At 41.4% G+C, this 21,355-nt stretch overlaps 1 protein-coding gene across 5 annotated transcripts in view, besides 1 other annotated feature; it reads right to left on the reverse strand.

The window, feature by feature from the left end:
- SLC24A2 (solute carrier family 24 member 2) overlaps positions 1-21,355 on the reverse strand; it is an 800,438-nt gene that overhangs the window by 149,310 nt on the left and 629,773 nt on the right. The gene's annotated exons all lie outside the window — the stretch shown is intronic.
- Positions 8,530-8,799: an enhancer, noted in NCBI's record as "active region_28224". NCBI's record gives its function as "activates an Ori minimal core promoter by ATAC-STARR-seq in GM12878 lymphoblastoid cells {active_cell/tissue: GM12878}" and the evidence as "EXISTENCE:reporter gene assay evidence [ECO:0000049][PMID:35858748]".

The raw sequence follows: 21,355 nt of genomic DNA on the forward strand, positions 1-21,355 counted from the left end.
TCCTTGCAACTGTGGTAGTTGAAATGCGTCAGTTTCTCTTTTGCCTCCTGCTTCCCATCCCCAGCTTCTGTGTTCCGCATCCACCGTTACCTCTCACCTGCCAGGTGGAGCTGAACCCCTTCCATTGTGTCTGCCATCCCTCCCCTCCCACCTCCTCAGGGATTCACTAGGGTGACACTCCCTCTGGTCCTTCAGAAGCTCCTGGGTACCTGCCTTCTGTCTGACGACAGTTTGTTGGCTGGTGGTTTTGGGTTTCTTCCCTCTGCAGTGGCTGAATTACTGCCCCCATCTCTGGCTTCTAAGAATTGCCTCTCAACTCCAGACTATAATCTCAACTCAATCTTAGGAGAACCTTTAAACAACTACTGAAGAAGAGTCCGTTTACATTCAGAACATGACAGATGCCCGGCTATGACCTGGAGAGTGGTGCATCTGTCGTGTATTGAGTGCTACGCTTTAGGTGGAAACTCAACCTGGCACTCCATCGTCCACCATTATTGTTTTAAATCTTATTTCCTCTATGATCCTGTTTGTTGTCTTATTCCTTCTCCCACAATCTGATTTATACCCTCAGATCTACTCACAGTTCTCTGTGTATTCTTTTTTTCATGTTTTTATTTTTTATTCATTTTACCTTAACTTTTGGGATACATATGCAGAACGTGCAGGTTTGTTACATAGACATGTACCATGGTGGTTTGCTGCACCCATCAACCTGTCATCTAGGTTTTAAGCCCCGCATGCATTAGGTATTTGTCCTAATGCGCTCCCTCCCCTCGTTCCCACCCTCCCTGTGTATTCTTTGAACAGTTATACTTGTTTTGACTTTGCTTAGGCTGTTGCTTTCCCTTATCCCTAATCTCCATAACCCCAAATCCTGCTTTTTCAAGGCTCAGCTCAAACACTACTCTTTCCACAAAATCCTCTCAGATGTCACACTGCAGAACCCTCAGTCTTTTACTTTCTTTCTTTCTTTTTTTGAAACAGCGTCTTGTGGCGTCATCCAGGACTGGAGTGCAGTGGCACAATCCCAGCCCACTGCAGACTTGGACTCCTGGACTGAAGCAATTCTCCCACTTTATCCTCCCCAGTAGCTAGGACTACAGGCCTGCACCACCACACCCAGCTAATTAAAAAAAAATTTCTGTAGAGATGAGGTCTCACTATGTTGCCCAGGCTGGAGAACTTCTTATGAGTCTTAAAATGTCCCTGATTCCTGCTTGTAGTGAGAGTTATCTGTGTCCTGCTAGACTGTGAGTTCCCAAGGCCACAAACCATAGCATCCCCCAAACAATGTACATCAGGCACTGGACTGCTCCTACCTCCATTATGGAAATTACCTCAGCCTTTGCCCAAGCTGCCCTCTGGCAAGTAGAGGTCACAAGTATTAAAGAACTTTCACTTGGGTTGATGACTCAAAATATCAGAACACATTCCTGGGAAAAATGCCTATTTACGTATTTGTATCCATTCACAAAGGTGATATCTCTACCCCTCACATTTACCAGGTTGATAAGTGGTGGTGGGGAAGCTGGCTCATTTGAAGATGATCAGAACCATAATAAAACAATAGCTAATGCCTGTTTATGTGTTTGTATCCATTCACAAAAATGATACCTGTACCCCTCACTTGTGCCAAGTTCATAAGGTAGTGGTGGGGAAGCTGGCTCATTTGAAGATGATCAGAACCATAATAAAACAATAGCTAACATTTATTATTACTATGTCCTGAGCACCAAGTTAAAAAGCCTATGAGGCAGGCACTGCTATTATCCCCAGTTTACAGCCAGGAAAACTGACACTCGGATAAGTTAACAGGTTAGGTTAATTGTTCTCTGTTTGCCCCTCCATATCAAATCTTCACTCTCTTCACTCTGCTGTATGCTCCAGGAGGCCAACATTTAGGTGTTGAATCAATGATATCCTGCCCTGGGGCTTCCTATTGGACTCAATCAATGGGAGATACCAGTGGGAGACCCAGGAGACCAGAGGTTGGGAGGAGAGAGAGCTCGGAATACTGATTTTCTTAGCTCCCTTCTGTCTAGATGTAAAAGGCCAAGGGCTGGTTTCTCTCCCCAAGGCCACTGTCCAGCAGCCCGTTTCTACAGCCACAGGTATCAGAGGGTTCCAGTTTCCCTCTCTCCCTTGAACCTTCACGCAACGAACGTACACAAGTGCTTTGTAGACCCTTGCTGGTTTCCTGGAACTCTACTGTTTACAAGTTGAATTGTGTCCTCTCAAAAAAGCTATGCTGAAATCCTAACCCCCAGTACTTTAGGATGCAATCTTATTTGGAAACAGGATTGTTGCAGATGTAATTAGTTAAGATAAGGGGTAGGGAGGTCCTAGTCCAATATGAGTCGAGTCCTTAGAAGAAGATGGTGGTGGAAGACAGAGAGACACACAGAGGGAATGAAGGCAGAGATTCCAATTATGCAGCTGTAAGCCACGGAATGCCCAAGACTCTTGGTGAACACCAGAAGCTAAGAAGAGGTGAGGAAGGATTGATTCCCTTACAGGTTTCAGAGGTAGCATCACCCTTCCAGCACCTTGATTTCAGGCTTCTAGGCTTCAGAACTGTAAGAAAATAAATTTCTGTTTTAAGCCGTTCAGTTTGTGGTACTTTGTTATGGCAGCCCTGAGGAACAAATACATTTACTTATGTCTTTGGAAATAGTCCTTTCATTAAATTCTCTTCAATTATTTTTTTGAGTGTGCTGCATGTTTTCTGCTGGGTCCCTAACCTTCCTAAGGTGAAAAGGCTAGGAACTGAATTCAGGGCTGTGAAGGTAAAACTCAAACGCTTATCCTTTATAATAATACTAATAACAATCATGGGTAAAACTTACATAGTGCTTATATTAACTCCCTTAGTGCCATTTAACCTGACGACTAGGGCTGCAGACTGTATTTTTAACACTGATGACATGCCTGATTTTCAGACCAGGTGGGTCTGTGTTAACTGGCAGAGCTGTGATGAAAAGTGAGCTCTTAAGTGAGCTGATTTCCTGAAGAGGCACAGACACACTTGGAATGGTACAAGTGAAATCCAGGGCCCACAAGGGTCAGGATTTTAAACATGCTTGAGAGTTTCTCATGAATACCATCAGAAGAGCAGCTGGGCAAGAGCTCAGGTGCTGACCTCTATTACCATCAAAGCCTAAAACTACTGGACAGTACCCTCATTTTTAAGGTGAACAGGGAGAGACTTACGAGGGGACCAAGACTTTTTTGAATACAAATAGACTGGCCACTTGACAAGCTGGAATTCTCCCAGATGCAAAAGAAAGAGAAAGCAAACGGATGAAAGATGCAGGTCTGAACGTTTTCCTCTGCCGCACAGGATTTCTCTGCCTGTTGTCCCTTCCGGACCAGCTCAGTGCCTGTGTCTCTACATATCCCAGTTCCTGCCCTAGGGAAGCAGGTGGAGGAAGCTGCTGTCTGAGTAATGACTGCTCTAACATTTCTTTTAAGGATGACACTATTTTTAGAAGTGACTCATTCATATAAGCAGGTATGGGTGAAGGGGCGGGAGGCTCTAAGTGACAACTTAACTCTTATGTCTCAGTGCATTTATATTTATTCTTGTACTTTAATCCTTCTTTTAACGGGCACCACAGGTCAGTTGTGATTCAGGGCACCAATGAAAACAGACATTTCTCTGGAAATAATTTAAAGTGTTTTCCATCCAGATACTTCAGAAGTGAGAAAGTTCTCAAAATATAGGAGGGAGGGCAAGAAAGGGAAAATTGGGAAGGACTGCTGTCATTTTGAGGAGGGGGACAGGTGAGGGAGCAGCTAAGTAAAGAGAAAGATTGAGGGAATTCTACTTCAGATGTCTCGTGCTTTCCTGTGCAGTAACAGGGAAAGCACTGTATTAGTAACTGGATGATTTAGAAGCCTTGGAGTGAAAGCAAATCATTCTGAAAAGGCTGCTTCCTGATTCGGAGACTCCATTTTTCCTCTTATGAAAGGAAAGTGTATTCTAGAACTTTTAGCACAACCAACACCCCCAGCTTTCAAACCTTGGACACTGGGCAAAGCACTTTATAGGTTATCTTATTTAACCCTCATGAAACTTTTATGAGACAGGTAGTGTTATGACCCCATTTTACAGACAAGGAAGCTGAGGCTTGGAGAGGTTTTGTAATTTTTTTAAGGCAACATACTAATAAATGGCTCATAACTCATGTCTGTCTGAGCTCGGACATCCAGTAATTCTGGCCCAGTGGGGTATGGCTAGTACACCAGAGCCTGCCAGCTAGTGTTGCTGCTACAAGAGCTAGTGTTTGAAATACTTACAGGCCTTGCATATAGGATTTATTGCTTTTTGCTCTTGTGAGAAACTTCACCTGTGTGAGTCTATGGGCTTGCTGGTTAAGAGAAACACGGTAAAAAATCTTGCCATTACCAGCACTTAGACTTAAATGACCTTTTTTTTTTTTGTGATTCTTCCTCATCCGATACAAGTTAATTCACCCATGACTTATCTATTCCCATATTAACATATTTTTGCATATTTGTTATTTAACCGACACCTCTAATGACCAGTCCTTAACCACATTGTTGTTGTAGAGTATGAATCCCTAAATATCATTGACATCTCTGCATAAACTACTAGATAAAGTCCCCAGCATCATATCCATGCAGGGTCTTGCTTTATCATCTTTTGGATGGTTAAAGAAATGTCAGAATTTATTGTAAAATCATCACGTCCAGGGATATCCTTCTTCTAAGTATTTTAAAAGCAAGAATGAAAAATACAATGTTGGACCAATTCAGCTCAATATTTCTTGCTGCAGAGTATCAATGTGGAGCATATCTTCCTTGAACACATTTACATTTACAGTTCCAAGAAGTCATTGGGTTAAGGAAGTCCAAATAAAGGGTGTGACAGGAATAATCAATCCTCTGAGTTTTTTCAAAACTTTAATCATGGTTGGGATTTTGGTTTTCTCAAAGGCAGCCCTTGACAAAAAACCATCAAAAATGACAGATTAGGGATCCCTCTGTTGTAATTTTCCATCGTTGCTGCCAATAATGGGCAAGTCTGTCTACTGACCCTCAGGAAGCCTATCAACCTATGTGAGTGTAGATTCCTGAAAATATGTTGTTTTATCAAAACACATCCGAGAGCTTTTCACCTGCTCCATCCAGACCACCTAAATAGACATTGCACATTCCACCATATTCTCTTTCTTCTGGCAAATCCTTCACCTTTATGTGCACCTGAGCCTTACTCATTCTTTACAGTAGTGTTCAAGCTCCATGTCCTTCTCTGCTATTCCTGGCCAAGATCTTTTGATCTCTAGACAACTGCTGTCCAACAGAAATAAAATGTGAACTGCACATGTCATTGTGAAAATTCTAGTAACCACATTATAAAAGTAACAAGAAACAGGTAAAAATAATTTTAAAGACATATTTAACATAATCGAATATAGCCACATTATTATTGTTTCAACATGTAATCAATAGAAGAATTAGTAATGAGATATGAGATATTTACTTTTTTCAGCATCAGCTTTCTGAAAACCAGAGTGTGTGTTAATACAACACATTTCAATTCAGACTAGACACATTTCAAGGGCTGAGTAGCCATGTGTATTGGATAGCGCAACACTGGACCGCATGTTCTGAGGAGGACAGGGTAGTTCCTGGCACACAAGTGGACTCAAATACTTGTTGCTTTCAGCTCTTACTCCTACTTACATTTATCTCTGTTCTGTCAGTTTGAAATGATCACCATGCCCGGTGTTAGTTACCCTCCAAGGCACGCACACATCTCCTCAACTAATTTACAAGCCCTTGGACAGAGACGAAGGAGTGTGCTTTAATTTTCCGCAGAGTACACTGAGATGCTTGTAGTCCCTAAACCTGGAGTTCCATTGCAGGCCTCCTCATCTTGGTGCATGTTGTTACCTGTGCCTGGAATGTTCTTTCCCCTTCTCTTTTGAAAAGTAACACCTGTTTTCAAAAAGCACCCTGTCCCCTACCACCTCTCAATTTGATTTAATGCCCATTTTCTGAATATCTTTTATCAAAATTTATGTTATATACTCACAATTGCTCCTTGGTTTCATTCACTGCCCCATGAGCTGTTTTGTGTGTGCACGTGTGTGTATGTGTTATGTGTATATTCCATGTCTAACTGGTTTTAGATCACTAATACCAAATACTGTCCCTATAAAATGAATGCAGGAATGCTACATAGCATATGCTAAACAAAACGTCAGTTGATCTTTATAACTGTGAAAGAAAATAGGTTTCTGAGCTAAGATACGCTCTGCATTTATCACCTGCAAAATAGGTAAATGGCTAACTGCCCAACATACTGGCTCATTTCCTGGAATAGGAAAGGGAAAGACAGAACTTTAATTCTCCTGACACCCTGCAAGTGAGGGGCTGCTACCCACATTTTACAGATTAGGAAAAAGAGGCTCAGAGAGGTCAGGAGACTTGCTCAAGGCTGCACAGCTAGTGAGTGCCATGAGAGGAATAAGAGTCCATGTCTGTGTGTCCCTGAAGCTGATCTTTGTGCTGAGGTCCCAGTTCCCACAAAGTTCTAGAGCAGAAGCCTTCCGATCGCTTCAAATAAACCCTAGCTCAGGGGTAGTCTCTATACAGATCATGGGAGAGAGCACAATGCATAGCCACAGGTCTTTTCTGTTGCAGTCCCCCCACCAGCAGAGCCTGCCCCCTTCCGCAATCTGTCAACTGTGAACGGTAGTGACAGAAGATGCCTCCTGACTTGTCAACAGAATAGGCTCCTGGGGACCTGGGAATGGATCAGAACAGCAGTAAAGGCCCTGGGTCCACGTCCTGCAGGGGGTCAGGCTGTCAGAGAGCAGGGGTCAACTCCAGCTTTTGAGTGTGAGAAACTGCTTTACTGTGCCCTCCTGTTTCTGCAATGATGCTTTCTCCCTCATTAAGTGCGTCTGCCACTCTCTGTAATGGAGTCTGCCCAAACATTGCCTAATAGCACTGATTAAACTAAGCATGCATATGCCTGGCACCATGGTTGCTGCTATCACAGGAATCCCAGGGCTGCTGAGACCAACTGCAAGACACTGAAGCTGCTAGTAACAAGCCTGATGGCAGCAGGGCACCAGGGTGCAGATCTGAATTTGCAAAGAGGAATTGATTTCCCTTCCAATATCCTGTCTCTCCTTCTAATAAGCAGGTGGATGGACGAAAGCAAAAGAGATGGCAAAGCTGCTCTTAGCTGCACCTGCCATCCTGAGCACTGTGGTGCCTCGCCTTGAAATGGTCATGACCGTGTAGGGAACATGGATGGGTTTCCTCAATCAGTTTCTCTGCCAGCTTAGTCTGAAGTCACATCACGCATAGATTAACACCCTTGGATAAACCTAAAATCTGAGTTTGGATTTTGGTTTGTTTTGTGATAGTCTGTATATCCTGCTATAAAGACACTCAGCATGTAGGAGTCAGAATCAAAACATAAATTAGGAAGATTATTTTTCTTTGTTTCACAACGGCTTTGATGCAGGGTTTCTTTAAATGGTAAGTTTCATTGGTGCATTTAGAATAGAAGTTAGCTTACAAATAAATTTTTAAAGAAAAAAGTCTGGCTGTAAAGCAGCTGCCATTTACAGCATGGTATCTGTGAGGCAGGCGCTGTGAGGAACACATGACACACATGAAGTCTGATGTTCACAGTAACCCTGAAAATTGGATATTAGCATTCCTGTTGTATAAATGAGAAATCCAAGGTTTGAAAGTGCAAAGTTATCAGGCAAATCTGGTGAAGCAGGTTGAATTGTGTCTCCCCAAAAGATATGTTGAAGTCCTAATCCACAGTACCTGTGAATATGACCTTATTTGGCACAGAGTCTTTGAAGATGTAATGAAGTTGAGATGAGGTCATACTGGATCTGGGTGGGCCTAAATCCAATGACTGGTGTCCTTATAAGGAGAGTGAGAAGAGAGATTTGACACAGAGGACAGACACACAGAGATGAAGGCCATATGATGATAGAGGCAGAGACTGGGGGTGATACAGCTGCAAGCCAAGGAATGCCACGGATTGCCAGCAACTCCCAGAAGCTAGGAAGAGGCAAGGAAGGGTCCCTAGAGCCTTCAGAGTGAGCATGGCTCTGCCAATACCTTGATGTCAGACTTCTAGCCTACAGGACTATGACAGAATAAATTTCTGTGGTTCTAAACTGCCCGTTTGTGGTAGTTTGTTTCGGCAGCCCTAGAAAACAAATACGCCTTGTAACACCAGGTTTGCTGATTCTAAGGATACCTCCTCTTCCTCATAGAATTTCAAGGCTGCCTGCTGTGTGGCTGTTGATACTGCAGGCCCTCACTCTTACCAGTAAGATCCGCCTGCTCTTGAGGAAAGCCGGTGAGAAGCAGTAGACAGGGGAATGACACCATCTATCTGAGGTGAGTTTTGCAAGGCATGGCCCTGGATAAAGGGGAATGCATGGGAGATTGTTTAGAAGTGTTGTTATTGTCCAAGGAAAAAGTAGGCGGTTTACGCTCACTGGTGGCAGTGGAGATGAGAAGAAACTGATGACTTTGAGAGGTGCTGAGAAGGCAGAACTGAAGACTGCTAGCACTTCAGATGTGGGGGCGAGGGTGAGGGGCTGGCAGCTGGGATGCTCAGGTTTCTGGCCTGGGTAACTGGGTGGGTGTTTATGCCATCGTGAGAAAGGAAGTTTATCATGATTGATCTAAACCTAATAGACTTCAATTGAAATGCATTGGTGGTAGAATTCTCTATGGAAACAGGCTTTAGAATCAGGCAAAAGTAGATATGTATTGCCTGTAATGCAACACACTAGCTAAGAGACGTCGGGTGAATCATTTAACCCCACAGGTTTCAGTTTCCTTATTTGTTGTTGTTGTTTGAGACAGGGTTTCGCTCTGTCACCCAGGCTGGAGTACAGTGGCATGATCATGGCTCACTGCAGCCTGACCTCCTGAGCTCAAGTGATCTGCCCACCTCAGCCCTCAAGTAGCTGGTACGCGCCACCATGCCTGGTTAATTTGTGTGTGTGTGTATGTGTATGTACATAGTGCATTCACATATATATATATGTAGACACAGGGTTTTTCCATGTTGCCCAGACTCCATGTGGTCCTGAACTCCTTGGCTGAAGCACCTCACCCACCTCGGCCTTCCAAAGTGCTGGGATTACAGGGGTATGCCACTGCACCCGGCCCGTGTTCTCATTCATTAAAAGTGAAGGTAATGATATGAGTTAGTATATGTAAAGAGCATATGGTATGCAAATAATCAGAGGTTAGCTTTTATAAAATATTTTATAAGTAATATGATGCTCTCCTTTGGAGCATTTCAATGATACATCTTACTCATTTTTATTATTGGCCAGGCACAGTGGCTCACATCTGTAATCCCAGCACTTTGAGAGGCCAAGGCAAGAGGATCGCTTGAGCCCAGGAGTTGAGATCAGCGTGGGCAACATGGGGAGACCTCATCTCCACAAAAAAATACAAAAATTAGCCAGGCATGGTGGCATGCACTTGTAGTCCCAGCTACTCAAGAGGCTGAGGTGGAAGGATCACCTGAGCCTGGGAGGTTGAGGCTGCAGTGAGTTGTGATTGCACCACTGCACTCCAGCCTGGGAAACAAAGTGAGACACTGTTTTAAAAAAATCATTATTTTAAAATAAAGTAGAGAGGATCTTGTTTTTATTTCCTCAATTGAATGTGGGAGAAGTGTAGGGAAACTGTGGAATATAGACACTAAGGATCGGTGCAAGCTCCCTTTAATATCTCAAGAAAATAAAAATAATTTTCTAGTTCTGTCTGTTTGTGCAACTATAAGGTATTTTTAGTGCAGAGTTTAGAAAGCCCAGCAGTGTAGAGAGTATATATTTCTTTATTTCCAATAACTCATGGGAACAGCATGTACTGGTAACAAAATAGCACTTTCTCTTGACTAGCAGCTTTTTTTTCCCCTGTCTAAAGGGCTACTAAAACCATTATGTTTTTTTCAATGCAGGACATCTTGTCCTTTCCCTGAGGTTATAGTACTTGGTGCCTTTCATGATTTCAGATGGTAAACTGCTTCCTAAGTGGGACTCTGTTCTTTGTCTAAGACATTTTATCTTTTCTAAAGCACAGTGTTCCCACCATGACAAGTGCTATTTATGTGTACATTATCAGAGCTACACAAACAATAATTCTTACTTTTCTTGAAATATTTAAAACAAAACACTCAGTACAAATTAATAAAGATCAGGTACTTTTAATATTTGTATAACTGGGATCTGTTCTTTCAGCTAAGATACTCATAAATCTAGATGCCATTATTAAAAAGAAGTAACTCGATTTTCTGGACATTTAAAAACACAACCTCAATGATTTATCACATAAAAAGAGAAAATAAAACCTTGAGTTAAGGATCATAACGAAAGAAAGAAGTTGCTAAAATCATGACAGAGAGCTTGCCAAAGCCATGCCTTCTGCAACCTGGTTATTTCCCCTTGTATTTTCTTCAGGTGTCTCAAAATAAAAAGTATTCGAAACTGAATGCACTGTGATTTATCCTTTCTACCTTCCCACCCAGGTCCATCCTTTCTCCCACATTTCCTATCTTGGTTAATGATTCCATTGCCCAACCAGAGGCCTGATATTGTCCCGAACACTTTCATTCTTATTGCCCAGGTCTGACTGGTCATTGCATCCTGGTAGTTCTACCTCCCAATTACTGCTTCAGCTCCTTCCTTCTTTCCACCCCTATGTTTGCTCCCTGGACCAAGTGTTCTTGAACTTCCATCATAGCCCCTTAGAGGTCTTCTAGCCTCTAGTCTTGGAGCTCTCCCATTCATTCTCTACTTCAGTCCATGGGAGCTTTCTAAATTGCCCCATTCTTCCCCAGTGAAGCACTGGCCCCAAGACCTATAGACTGGAGGGTCAGCTCCCTGGAATGGCATGAGAAGCCCATCAGAATGATCTCTTCCTCCTGTGAAGCCTTATATTTAAGTACTCCTTGCCCCAGCCTGCACTTGGTATTCCAGCTGTTCCATGCTGTCTGCAGCCTATCAACAATACCGTGCTGCTCCTCTCTGCCTGGAAATGTTTTTCTCTGTCTTGTCACCCTATAAAATTATTCTTAAACCCGCTGCTAGTTCTGATAGTTCTTCCTCTAGCAAGACTTCTGGGACTTTTCCTTCTCATCCACTGCCATCTCAGCAGCCCTTTTGTATCTTGACCTTCTTTCTATTCCTGTACATTTCTTACTGTATTTTTAATGTTTTAATTCCCACATCTATCTCCTTGGCCACATTGGAAGCTCCTTGGATGTGGAGGCTCTTTCTAAGTCATTGTTGCCTCCTCAGGCCCTAGTGTGGACACACCAGATACCCAACAACTTTTGAAGTAAATTATGATCTCAGTTGTTCATTGCCAACAGTCTGTTACTCCTTATCTTCCACTACTCTACATCCCCCAATATATTTTATTTTGCGATCCCACCAGGCTCTTCTTATCTTTGTCTTATAGATGAGAACACTGAGGCTCAGAGCATGGAAGTCATTCCCAATATCACACTGCTAGTAAGCAACAGAGTCAGGATTCAACCCCAGAGCTGGGTGAAATTGCACAGCCCAGATGCTCCAGTGCTCCTCCCTGCTGCCTTCACAGAATATAAGCAGTAGATTGGGACCAATTTCCTCAAATCGCAAAACATTTCCGTACCTGCATGCCTATGCTCAATCTTTGTTCTCCTCTACCTGTAGAATTCCTACTTCCCCTTTAAGTTCTAGTTCAAATGCTGTTGACTGTTTGAAATACACATTTTTCTTTTTTGAGACAGGGTCTCCCTCTGCAGTGGCGCCATCCATCATTGCTCACTGCAGCCCTCAAATTCCCAGGCTCAAAGTATCCGCCTGCCTCCGACATTTTCTGTTTCTGTCAGCTTGAAATAATAGTTTCCTCTCCTGTGCATCCTACGATATCTTCACACACAGATACACAACCCTGAACCTTCTCTTTCATGGCCTCCACCATATTCTAGCTCATATGATAGTTATTCCTGCAAGAATTTCTTCTTTGTTAAACTGAAGTGCCTTTGGTGCAGAGATCAGGTCTTTTTCATTTTTCTGTGACCATAGCCCCTAATATAGTGTTATGTATATAAAAGTACATAGTACTATTCAGTACATAGTACTGAATGAATAAGTGAATGAGTGCTATATTTCATCAGCCTGTCTCTGTTGGAGAACAGAAGGTTTTATAAATATTCTTGCTCCCTCGGCACTTGGCCTGGTAATTTGAAGATAAGATCTGATCAGGTATTTGGCTAAATTGTATTTATATCTTATACGGTATAGTTATTCTTCATAGCTTGAAAGAAGAAGAGAATAAGAGGGAAAAGCATATGTAATTTGGGTCTTCAGGTCTGAGTCCTTGAACTCCAAAACCAGGAGAAGAAAAAGAGAAAGAGAGGCTCACCCTTGCTCTGGAGACTGTTCTCAACCAGGAGTGGAACACAGCTCCCTTGTGGTGCAGGAGGAAATGTGTGAGTGGGTTGGGTGGGGAGTGGTGGTGGGTTATGGGGAGAAGTGCTGGCATTCACATAAGTGGTCAGAACCCAGCAATACTAACGGCCCTAAAATGCACTGGGTAGTCTCACAAAACACAGAACCGTGCTGTCCAAAATGTCAACAATGCAGATATTAGCTTTTTAAAATTGCTACCACAATAAATAACCACAAACTTAGAGACTTAAACTACACAAACTTATTACTTTAAACTCCTGTAGGTCAGAATCTTACATGGATCTCACTGAGCTAAAAGCAAAGTCTCTGCAGGGCTGATACTTGCCTTCAGGCTCTGGGGGAAAATCCATTTCCTTGCCTTTCCCAGCTTCTAGGGGTTACCCACATTTCTTGGCCTGTGGCCTCTGTCCTCTATCTTCAAAACCAGCAACAGCAAGTTGAGACCTTTTTCCACAGAATCACTCCACTCTCCTCTTCTGCCTTAAGGACCCTTGTGATGATTAGACCCATCTGGATAATACAGGGTGCTCTGCCCATCTCAAGGTCAGCTGATTAGCAACCTTAATTTTATCTGCAATCTTAATTCCCTTTGCTATGTAACATAAAATATTCACAGGTTCCAATGATGAGGATGTGGACATCTTTCGGGGCCATCATTCTGTCTACCACAGTGCCCCCACATTGGAGAACATCCCACAATTATTGGTCCTTGGTGATTATCTTCTGTGTTAGATGGGTCTGCCTCAAGACAGGCATTCAGAGAATAGCCTGCATTTAGAGAGCTCTGAAATATATACCCCAGTAAAATCCTCAGCACTCTGTGAAATATCATTCCGTCTCACAAGTCCACAGCCTCCACACCCCTTCCCATCTCTTGTGGCACCAATGGAAGCCATCAGGAACATCAGATCTCAGTCTTGAGACCCCTTTTCAATTGTAGCTGTAGGTGGTAAGTACAAGTAAGAATGAAGGTCATGGGGAGACATGTTATCTCATCTAGCCTGGGTTATTCCTTATTAAGTTTTTTGACATCCTAGTTCCCAGTGCTGATATTGACAAAAGCTTCCAAATATAACTATAGAACAAAATATTTAAAGCTATTTATTATTAATGTAATCTTACAAAAATCAACTCTACAAAAACCACATAGTCTATCAACCTGGGAAGTGAAAAGAACTCATAATTTCCTATGCATGATTTTGCTCCTCAAATAATAATAACTATGATGGCTACCATTACAAAGTGCCAGGGACTTTATGCCCTATTTTATTTATTCCTTATGACAATCCTATTTCATTGCTATTATTATTCCCATTTTACAGATGGGGGAATTTAGATACAGAGAGATTACATTATTTGTCCAAGAGCATATAGCAAATAAATGTAGTCAGAATTTGATCCTAGCTCTACCAGCCTCTAGAACATTCCCAGGCCCATAAATATAGGTTAGGATGAAGAGGCAGACATGGCCCAAACTCTTGTATGTCTCAGGGTAAGGATAATTGTTCCATGTGTCCCATAAGTTGCTGTCACTGCCTAGGTTACCAGGTGGTAGAGGAAGGCCTGCTTTATCTGTGCTCGATGAACCTTATGGCTTTCTAAGGAACATTTCTGATATCCCTGATAACAACTGTTAATCCAGCCACCAGTGCCAAGACCTCAAACTAATTAGCCTAAAAAGTCAGATTAGAATGGGGTTAATTCTGTGATCATTTACTATTTACAAGGAGGTTTGATAATAAAGAGAAACTTAGATCTTTGTTTCAAAGAGCTTTCCTAAACAGCAGCATTTACTGTTTGGAAAACCAAACATCACATGTGAAGAATGATGGTGGTATTTGGATGGAAATCGCGTTGAATTTGTAGATTGCTTTTGGCAGCATGGTCATTTTCACAATATTGATTCTACTCATCCATGAGCATGGGACATGTTTATTTGTTTGTGTCATCTATGATTTCTTTCAGCAGTGTTTCATAGTTTTCCTTGTAGAAGTCTTTTACCTCCTTGGTTAGGTATATTCCTCAGTATTTTATTATTATTATTTTTTGCAGCTATTGCAAAAGGGGTTGAGTTCTTGATTTGATTCTCAGCTTGGTCACTGTTGGTGTATAGCAGAACTACTCATTTGTGTTCTTTAATTTTGTGTCCTGAGACTCTGCTGAATTCATTTATCAGGTCTAGGAGCTTGTTGGAGGAGTCTTGAGGGTTCTCTAGGTATATGATCATATCATTGGCAAACAGCAACAGTTTGACTTCCTCTTTACCAATTTGGATGCCCTTTATTTCTTTCTCTTATCTGATTGCTCTGGCTAGGTCTCCCAGCACCATGTTGAATAGAAGTAGTTAGAGTGGGCATCCTTGTCTTGTTCTGATTCTTAGCAGGAATGCTTTCAACTTTTCCTCTTTCAGTATTAGGTTGGCTGTGGGTTTGTCATAGATGGCTTTTATTATCTTAAGATACGTCCCTTCTATGCCGATTTTGCTGAGGCTTTTAATCATAAATAGATGCTGGATTTTGTCAAATGCTTTTCCTGCATCTATTGAGACGAACATATGATTTTTGTTTTTAACTCTGTTATGTGGTGTGTCACATTTATTGACTTGCAGATGTTAAACCATCCCTGCATCCCTGGTATGAAACCCAATTGATTATGGTGGATTTTTTTTTGATATGCTTTTGGGTTTGGTTAGCTAGTATTTTGTTAAGGATTTTTGCATCTATATTCATCAGGGATATTGGTCTGTAATTTTCTTTTTTTTGTTACGTCCTTTCCTGGCTTTGGTATTAGGGTGATACCGGCTTCACAGAATGATTTAGGAAGAATTCCCTCTTTCTCTATCTTGTGGAATAGTGTCAATAGGATTGGTACCAGTTCTTTGAATGTCTGATAGAATTCAGCTGTGAATCCTGGACTTTTTTTATTGGCAATTTCAAAATTACCATTTCATTCTCACTGTTTGTTATTGGTCTGGTTCAGAGTTTATATTTCTTCCTGGTTTAATCTAGGAGGGTTGTATATTTCCAGGAATTTATCCATCTCCTCTAGGTTTTCTAGTTTATGCATGTAGAGGTATTCCTAGTAGCCTTGAATAATCTTTTGTCTTTCTGTGGTATCCGTTGTAATAGCTCCTGTTTTGTTTCTAATTGAGCTTATTTGGGTCTTCTCTCTTCTTTGTTAATCTTGCTAATGGTCTATCAATTTTATTTATCTTTTCAAATAATCAGGTTTTAGTTTCATTTATCTTTTGTATTTTCTTTGTTTCAATTTTATTTAGTTCTGCTCTGATTTCTGTTATTTCTTTTCTTGTGCGGGGTCTGGGTTTGGCTTGCTCTTGTTTCTCTAGTTCCTTTAGGTGTGAACTTACATTGTCTATTTGTGCTTTCAGACTTTTTGATGTAGGCATTTAAGGCTGTGAATTTTCCTTTTAGCACTGTCTTTGCTGTATCCCAGAGGTTTTGATAGGTTGTGTCACTATTATCATTCAGTTCAAAGAATTTTTTAATATCCATCTTGATTTCATTGTTGACCCAATGATCATTCAGGAGCAAGTTATTTAATTTCCATGTATTTGCATGGTTTTGAGGGCTTCTTTTGGAGTTGATTTCCAATTTTATTCCACTGTTGTCTGAGACAGTACTTGATAAAACTTCAGTTTTCTTAAATTTATTGAGACTTGTTTTATGGCCTATCATATGGTCTATCTTGGAGAATGTTCCATGTGCTGGTCAACAGAATGTATATTCTGCAGTTGTTGGGTAGAATGTTCCGTAAATATCTGTTAAGTGCATTTGTTCCAGGGTATAGTTTAAATCCATTGTTTCTTTGTTGACCTTTTGCCTTGAAGACCTGTCTAGTTCTGTCAGAGGAGTATTGAAGTCCTCCAATATTAATTGTGTTGCCATGTATCTCATTTCTTAGGTCTAGTAGTAACAGTTTTATAAATTTGGGAACTTCAGTGTTAGGTGCATATATATTTAGAATTGTGATATTTTCCTGTTGGACAAGTCCTTTTATCATTATATAATGTCCCTCTTTGTTCTTTTTCACTGCTATTGCTTTAAAGTTTGTTTTGTCTTATGTAAGAATAGCTACTCCTGTTTGCTTTTGGTGTCCATTTGCATGGAATATCTTCCACCACTTTAAGTTTATGGTGAGTTCTTGTGTGTGTATGTGTGTGTGCGTGTGTGTGTGTGTGTGTGTTTGAGACACAGTCTTGCTCTGTCCTTCAGGCTGGAGTGCAGTGGCACGATATCAGTTCACTGCAACCTCTGCCTCCCAGGTTCAAGTGATTCTCCTGCCTCACCCTCCAGAATAGCTGGGATTACAGGTGTGCACCACCATGCCCAGCTAATTTTTTGTGTTTTTAGTACAGATGCAGTTTCGCTATGTTGGTCAGTCTGGTCTCGAACTTCTGACCTCAAGTGATCCACCTGCTTTGGCCTCCCAAAATGCTGGGATTACAGGTATGAGCCACTGCGCCCAGACGTGAGTTCTTATGTGTTAGGTGAGTTTCCTGAAAACAGCAGATACTTGGTTGGGGAATTCTTATCCATTCTGCCATTCTGTATCTTTTAAGTGGAGTATTTAGGCCATTTACACTCAATGCTAGTATTGAGATGTGAGGTACTATTCTATTCATGTTATTTGATGCCTGAATATCTTGTTGTTTATTTGTTTATTTATTGTATTTTTGTTTTAGAGGTTCTGTGAGATTTATGCTTTAAGGAGGTTCTATTTTGGTGTATTTCAAGGATTTGTTTCAAGATTTAGAGCTTCTTTTAGCAGTTCTTATAGTGCTGGCTTGGTAGTGGTGAGCTCTCTCAGCATTTGTCTGAAAAAAGACTGCATCTTTCCTTCACTTATGAAGCTTAGTTTCTCTAGATACAAAATTCTTGGCTGATAATTGTTCTAAGAAGGCTGAAGATAGGGCCCTGATCTATTCTAGATTGTAGGGTTTCTGCTGAGAAATCTGTTGTTAATCTGATAGGTTTTCTTTTATAGGTTACCTGGTGCTTTCACCTCACAGCTCTTAAGATTCTTTCTTAAGTTTTGACTTTAGATAACTTGATGACAATGTGCCTAGGTGATCTTTTTGTGATAAAATTTCCCAGGTGTTCTTTGAGCTTCTTGTATTTAGATGTCTAAATCTCTAGCAAGGCCGGGGAAGTTTTCCTTGATTATCCCCTCAAATATGTTTTCCAAACTTTTAGATTTCTCTTCTCCTTCAGGAACACCAATTATTCCTAGGTTTGGTTAACATAATCCCAAACTTCTTGGAGGCTTTGTTCATTTTTTTAAAAAATTCTTTTTTCTTTGTCTTTGTTGAATTGGCTTAATTTGAAAACCTTGTCTTTGAGTTCTGAAGTTCTTAGTTTGTTCGACTCTACTGCTGAGACTTTCCAGTGCATTTTGCATTTCTCTAAGTGTGTCCTTCCTTTCCAGAAGTTATGATTTTTAATGCTATCTATTTCACTGAAGATTTTTCCCTTCCTATCTTGTATCTTTTTCAAAATTTCATTGAGTTGGACTTCATCTTTCTCTGCTGCCTCTTTGATTAACTTAATGATTGACCTTCTGAATTCTTTTTCTGGCAATTTAGGGATTTCTTCTTGGTTTGCATCCACTGCTGGTGAGCTAGTGTGATCTTTTGGGAGTGTTAAAGAACCTTGTTTTGTCATATTACCAGGATTGTTTTTCTGGTTCCTTCTATTTGAGTACACTATGTCAGAGGGAAGATCTGGGGCTCAAGGGCTGCTCTTCAGATTCTTTTGTCCCACAGGGTGCTCCCTTGAGGTAGTGCTCTCTCCCTTCCCCTAGGGATGGGACTTCCTGAGAGCTGAACTGCAGTGATTATTATTTCTCTTCTGGATCTAGCCACCCAGTGGAGCTACTGGGCTCTGGGCTGGTACTGGGGGTGTCTGCAAAGAGTCCTGTGATGTGAACTGTCTTCAGGTCTCAGCTTTAGATACCAGCACCTGCTCCAGTGGAGGTGGCAGGGGAGTGAAATGGACTCTGTGAGGGTCCTTAGTTGTAGTTTTGTTTATTGCACTAGTTTTGTATTGGTTGGCCTCCTGCCAGGAGGTGGCAATTTCAAGACAGTGTCAGCTGCCATAGTATAGGGAGGATCAGGTGGTGGGCAGGGCCCTAGAGCTGCCAAGAGATTGTGTCCTTTGTCTTCAGCTACCAGGGCAGGCAGAGAAAGACCATCAGGTGTAAGCATGGTTAGGTGTGTCTGAGCTCAGACTCTTTTCGGGTGCGGCTTGCTGTGCTGTTGCAGAGGATGAGGGTATGGATCTCAGGCTAATGGAGTTATTTTCCCAGAAGGATTATGGCTGCCTCTGCTGTGTCATGAAGGTCGCCAGGGAAGTGGGGGAAAGCCGGCAGTTACAGGCCTCACCCAGCTCCTACACAATCCCCAAAATCAGTCTCGCTCCTACCGTGCCCCCACAAAAGCACCAAGTTTATTTTCAGCCAGCCGGTGAGCAGGGCTGGAAACCTACCCCAGGCTGAGAAAGCAAACAGGGTTTTCAGGTTTTGTGCCTCCCCGCCTGCTGTGGCTTCGTGCTGTGTCTGCACTCCCTATTCACCCCCTCCCCTGACTTCTGTCCAGGAAACTTCATGTTTGGTCAAAATTGTTACAAAGTTCAGCTGGAAGTTTCCTTCTTCCTGTGGTCTTTTCCAGTTCCTCTGGCAGCACTCCCCAAGAGTACTTTACTTTGTCTTACTCTCTGAGACAAACTAAGAAATGGCTTCCCTGGGGACCAAGAGCCCATAGGGCTCTTCCCACTGCTACTTCTACCCCTGTATTTTGCTCAGCTCTCTAAAATTTTCTCAGCTCCAAGTAAGGTCAAATACTTCTCTTGTGATCTGGACCTTCAGGTTCCCCAGTGATGGTGTGTGTTCAGGGGTGGATGATCCCCCTTTCACACTTTCACACTTCAGGCACTCACAGTTTTTTGGCTGTCTACCGGGGCCTGCAGGAGCAATCTGCTTCCTTCAAAGGGTCTGTAGATTCTCTTGGCTTTCCTGGTATGTTCCTGCAGTAGTTCTTGGAGCACAAGTTCACAATGTGAGTCTCCACAAGCTGCTCTGTCCATCTGAGTGGGAGGTGCAATTTAGTCCTGCCTATTATCTGCCATTTTCCTCCCCATGCCGTTGCCAGAATCTTAACAGATAGACCTGGAAATCTGAAGAGCTGGGCTCTGTCCTGGCACTGCGGCAGCTGACTGTGTGCCTTTGTTTCCTTGTTTATCTATATCTTCTATTTTTTTTCCCACAATGGAGGCACTTTTTTTCCACATGTGTATCTTATATGGTAGGAGAAGTTCTTAAAAAGAGTTTTTCATTAAAAATTAGGTAAGTAAGATAAAGACTAGGGGAAGCAAATAAATAAATAAACCCTTGATTAGTGGAGATGTTTACTATCTGGCAATCCCATTCCAGTTAAAATGTCACATAAAAAACGGATACAATTTTGTCCACTATTGAGTTGCATATTAGGAAGGATAGATTTGGCTTTGGAAAGAAACTATTTTATTATTTAATAGTTAATTTCTTAACCTAAGAGAATTCTTTATTAACATTTTTAACAATAAAAAAGTTTTTCTTCAAAGAGATACCATCTCACACCAGTCAGAATGGCTATTAATAAAAAGTTAAAAAATAACAGACACTAGTGAGGTTATGGGGAAAAATGAACACTTAAGCACTGTTGGTGGGAGTGTAAATTAGTTCACCCACTGTAGAAAATACTGTGGTGATTCCTCAAAGACCTAAAGACAGAAACATCATTCAATCTAGCAATCCCATTACTGGGTATATACCCAAAGCAATATAAATCTTCTATTCTAAAGACACATGCACATGTATGTTCACTGCAGCACTATTCACAATAGCAAAGACATGGAATCAACCTAAATACCCACCTATGGTAGACTGGATAAAGAAAATGTAGTACGTATACACAATGGAATACTCTGCAGTCGTAAAAAAGAATGAGATCTTGTCCTTTGCAGGGACATGGATGGAGCTAGAGGCCATTAGCCTCAGCAAACTAACACAGGGACAGAAAACCAAATACCACATGTTCTCACTTACAAGTAGGAAACTAAATGATGAGAACACATGGACACAGGGAGGGGAACAACACACAGTGGGGTCTATCAGACGGTGGAGGGCAGAAGGAGGTAGAGTATTAGGAAAAATAACTAATAGGTACCAGGTTTAATACCTGGGTGATGAAATAATCTGCACAACAAACCCCCATGACACAAGGTTTCCTGTATAACAAACGTGCATGTGTACCCCTGACCTTAAAGTTAAAAAGTTTTTCATTAGAAAATTCAAATTAAACTGAATAAAACCTTCAATTCTCATGAATTTTGGCAATTTAAAATCAAATAAACATTCTGCATCATATTTTAAAAACTATACAAATACATTTACATATCTAAATATTGTATACAATATACAAAGTGGTATACATTACACATAACACACATTCTATATTATGTGATATCTATTATATATTATAGATTTGTATATAGTATAAATATTCTATATAAACATATACATTTATTATATACTATATTAATATAAGCAAATACATATACAAACATATATAAGCAAACATAAGCATATAAAATATAAACACACACACACAAGCACACAAAACAATGACCAATGACAGAGCCAGGTTCCAGGCATCAGACGCCATGGAAGGAACAGAGGGCTTCAACCAGACAATCCTGGTCTTAAATCTTATCTCTGTCGCAGTAGCTTCGCAGATCTAGCTTAAGCAGATGACTCAACCCCTTTGAGTCTCTTTCCTCATCCCATCACTCAGGCTAATAACT

Source organism: Homo sapiens, chromosome 9 (genome assembly GCF_000001405.40).
Source record: "Homo sapiens chromosome 9, GRCh38.p14 Primary Assembly".
In the NCBI taxonomy this organism is placed as follows: Eukaryota; Metazoa; Chordata; class Mammalia; order Primates; family Hominidae; genus Homo; species Homo sapiens.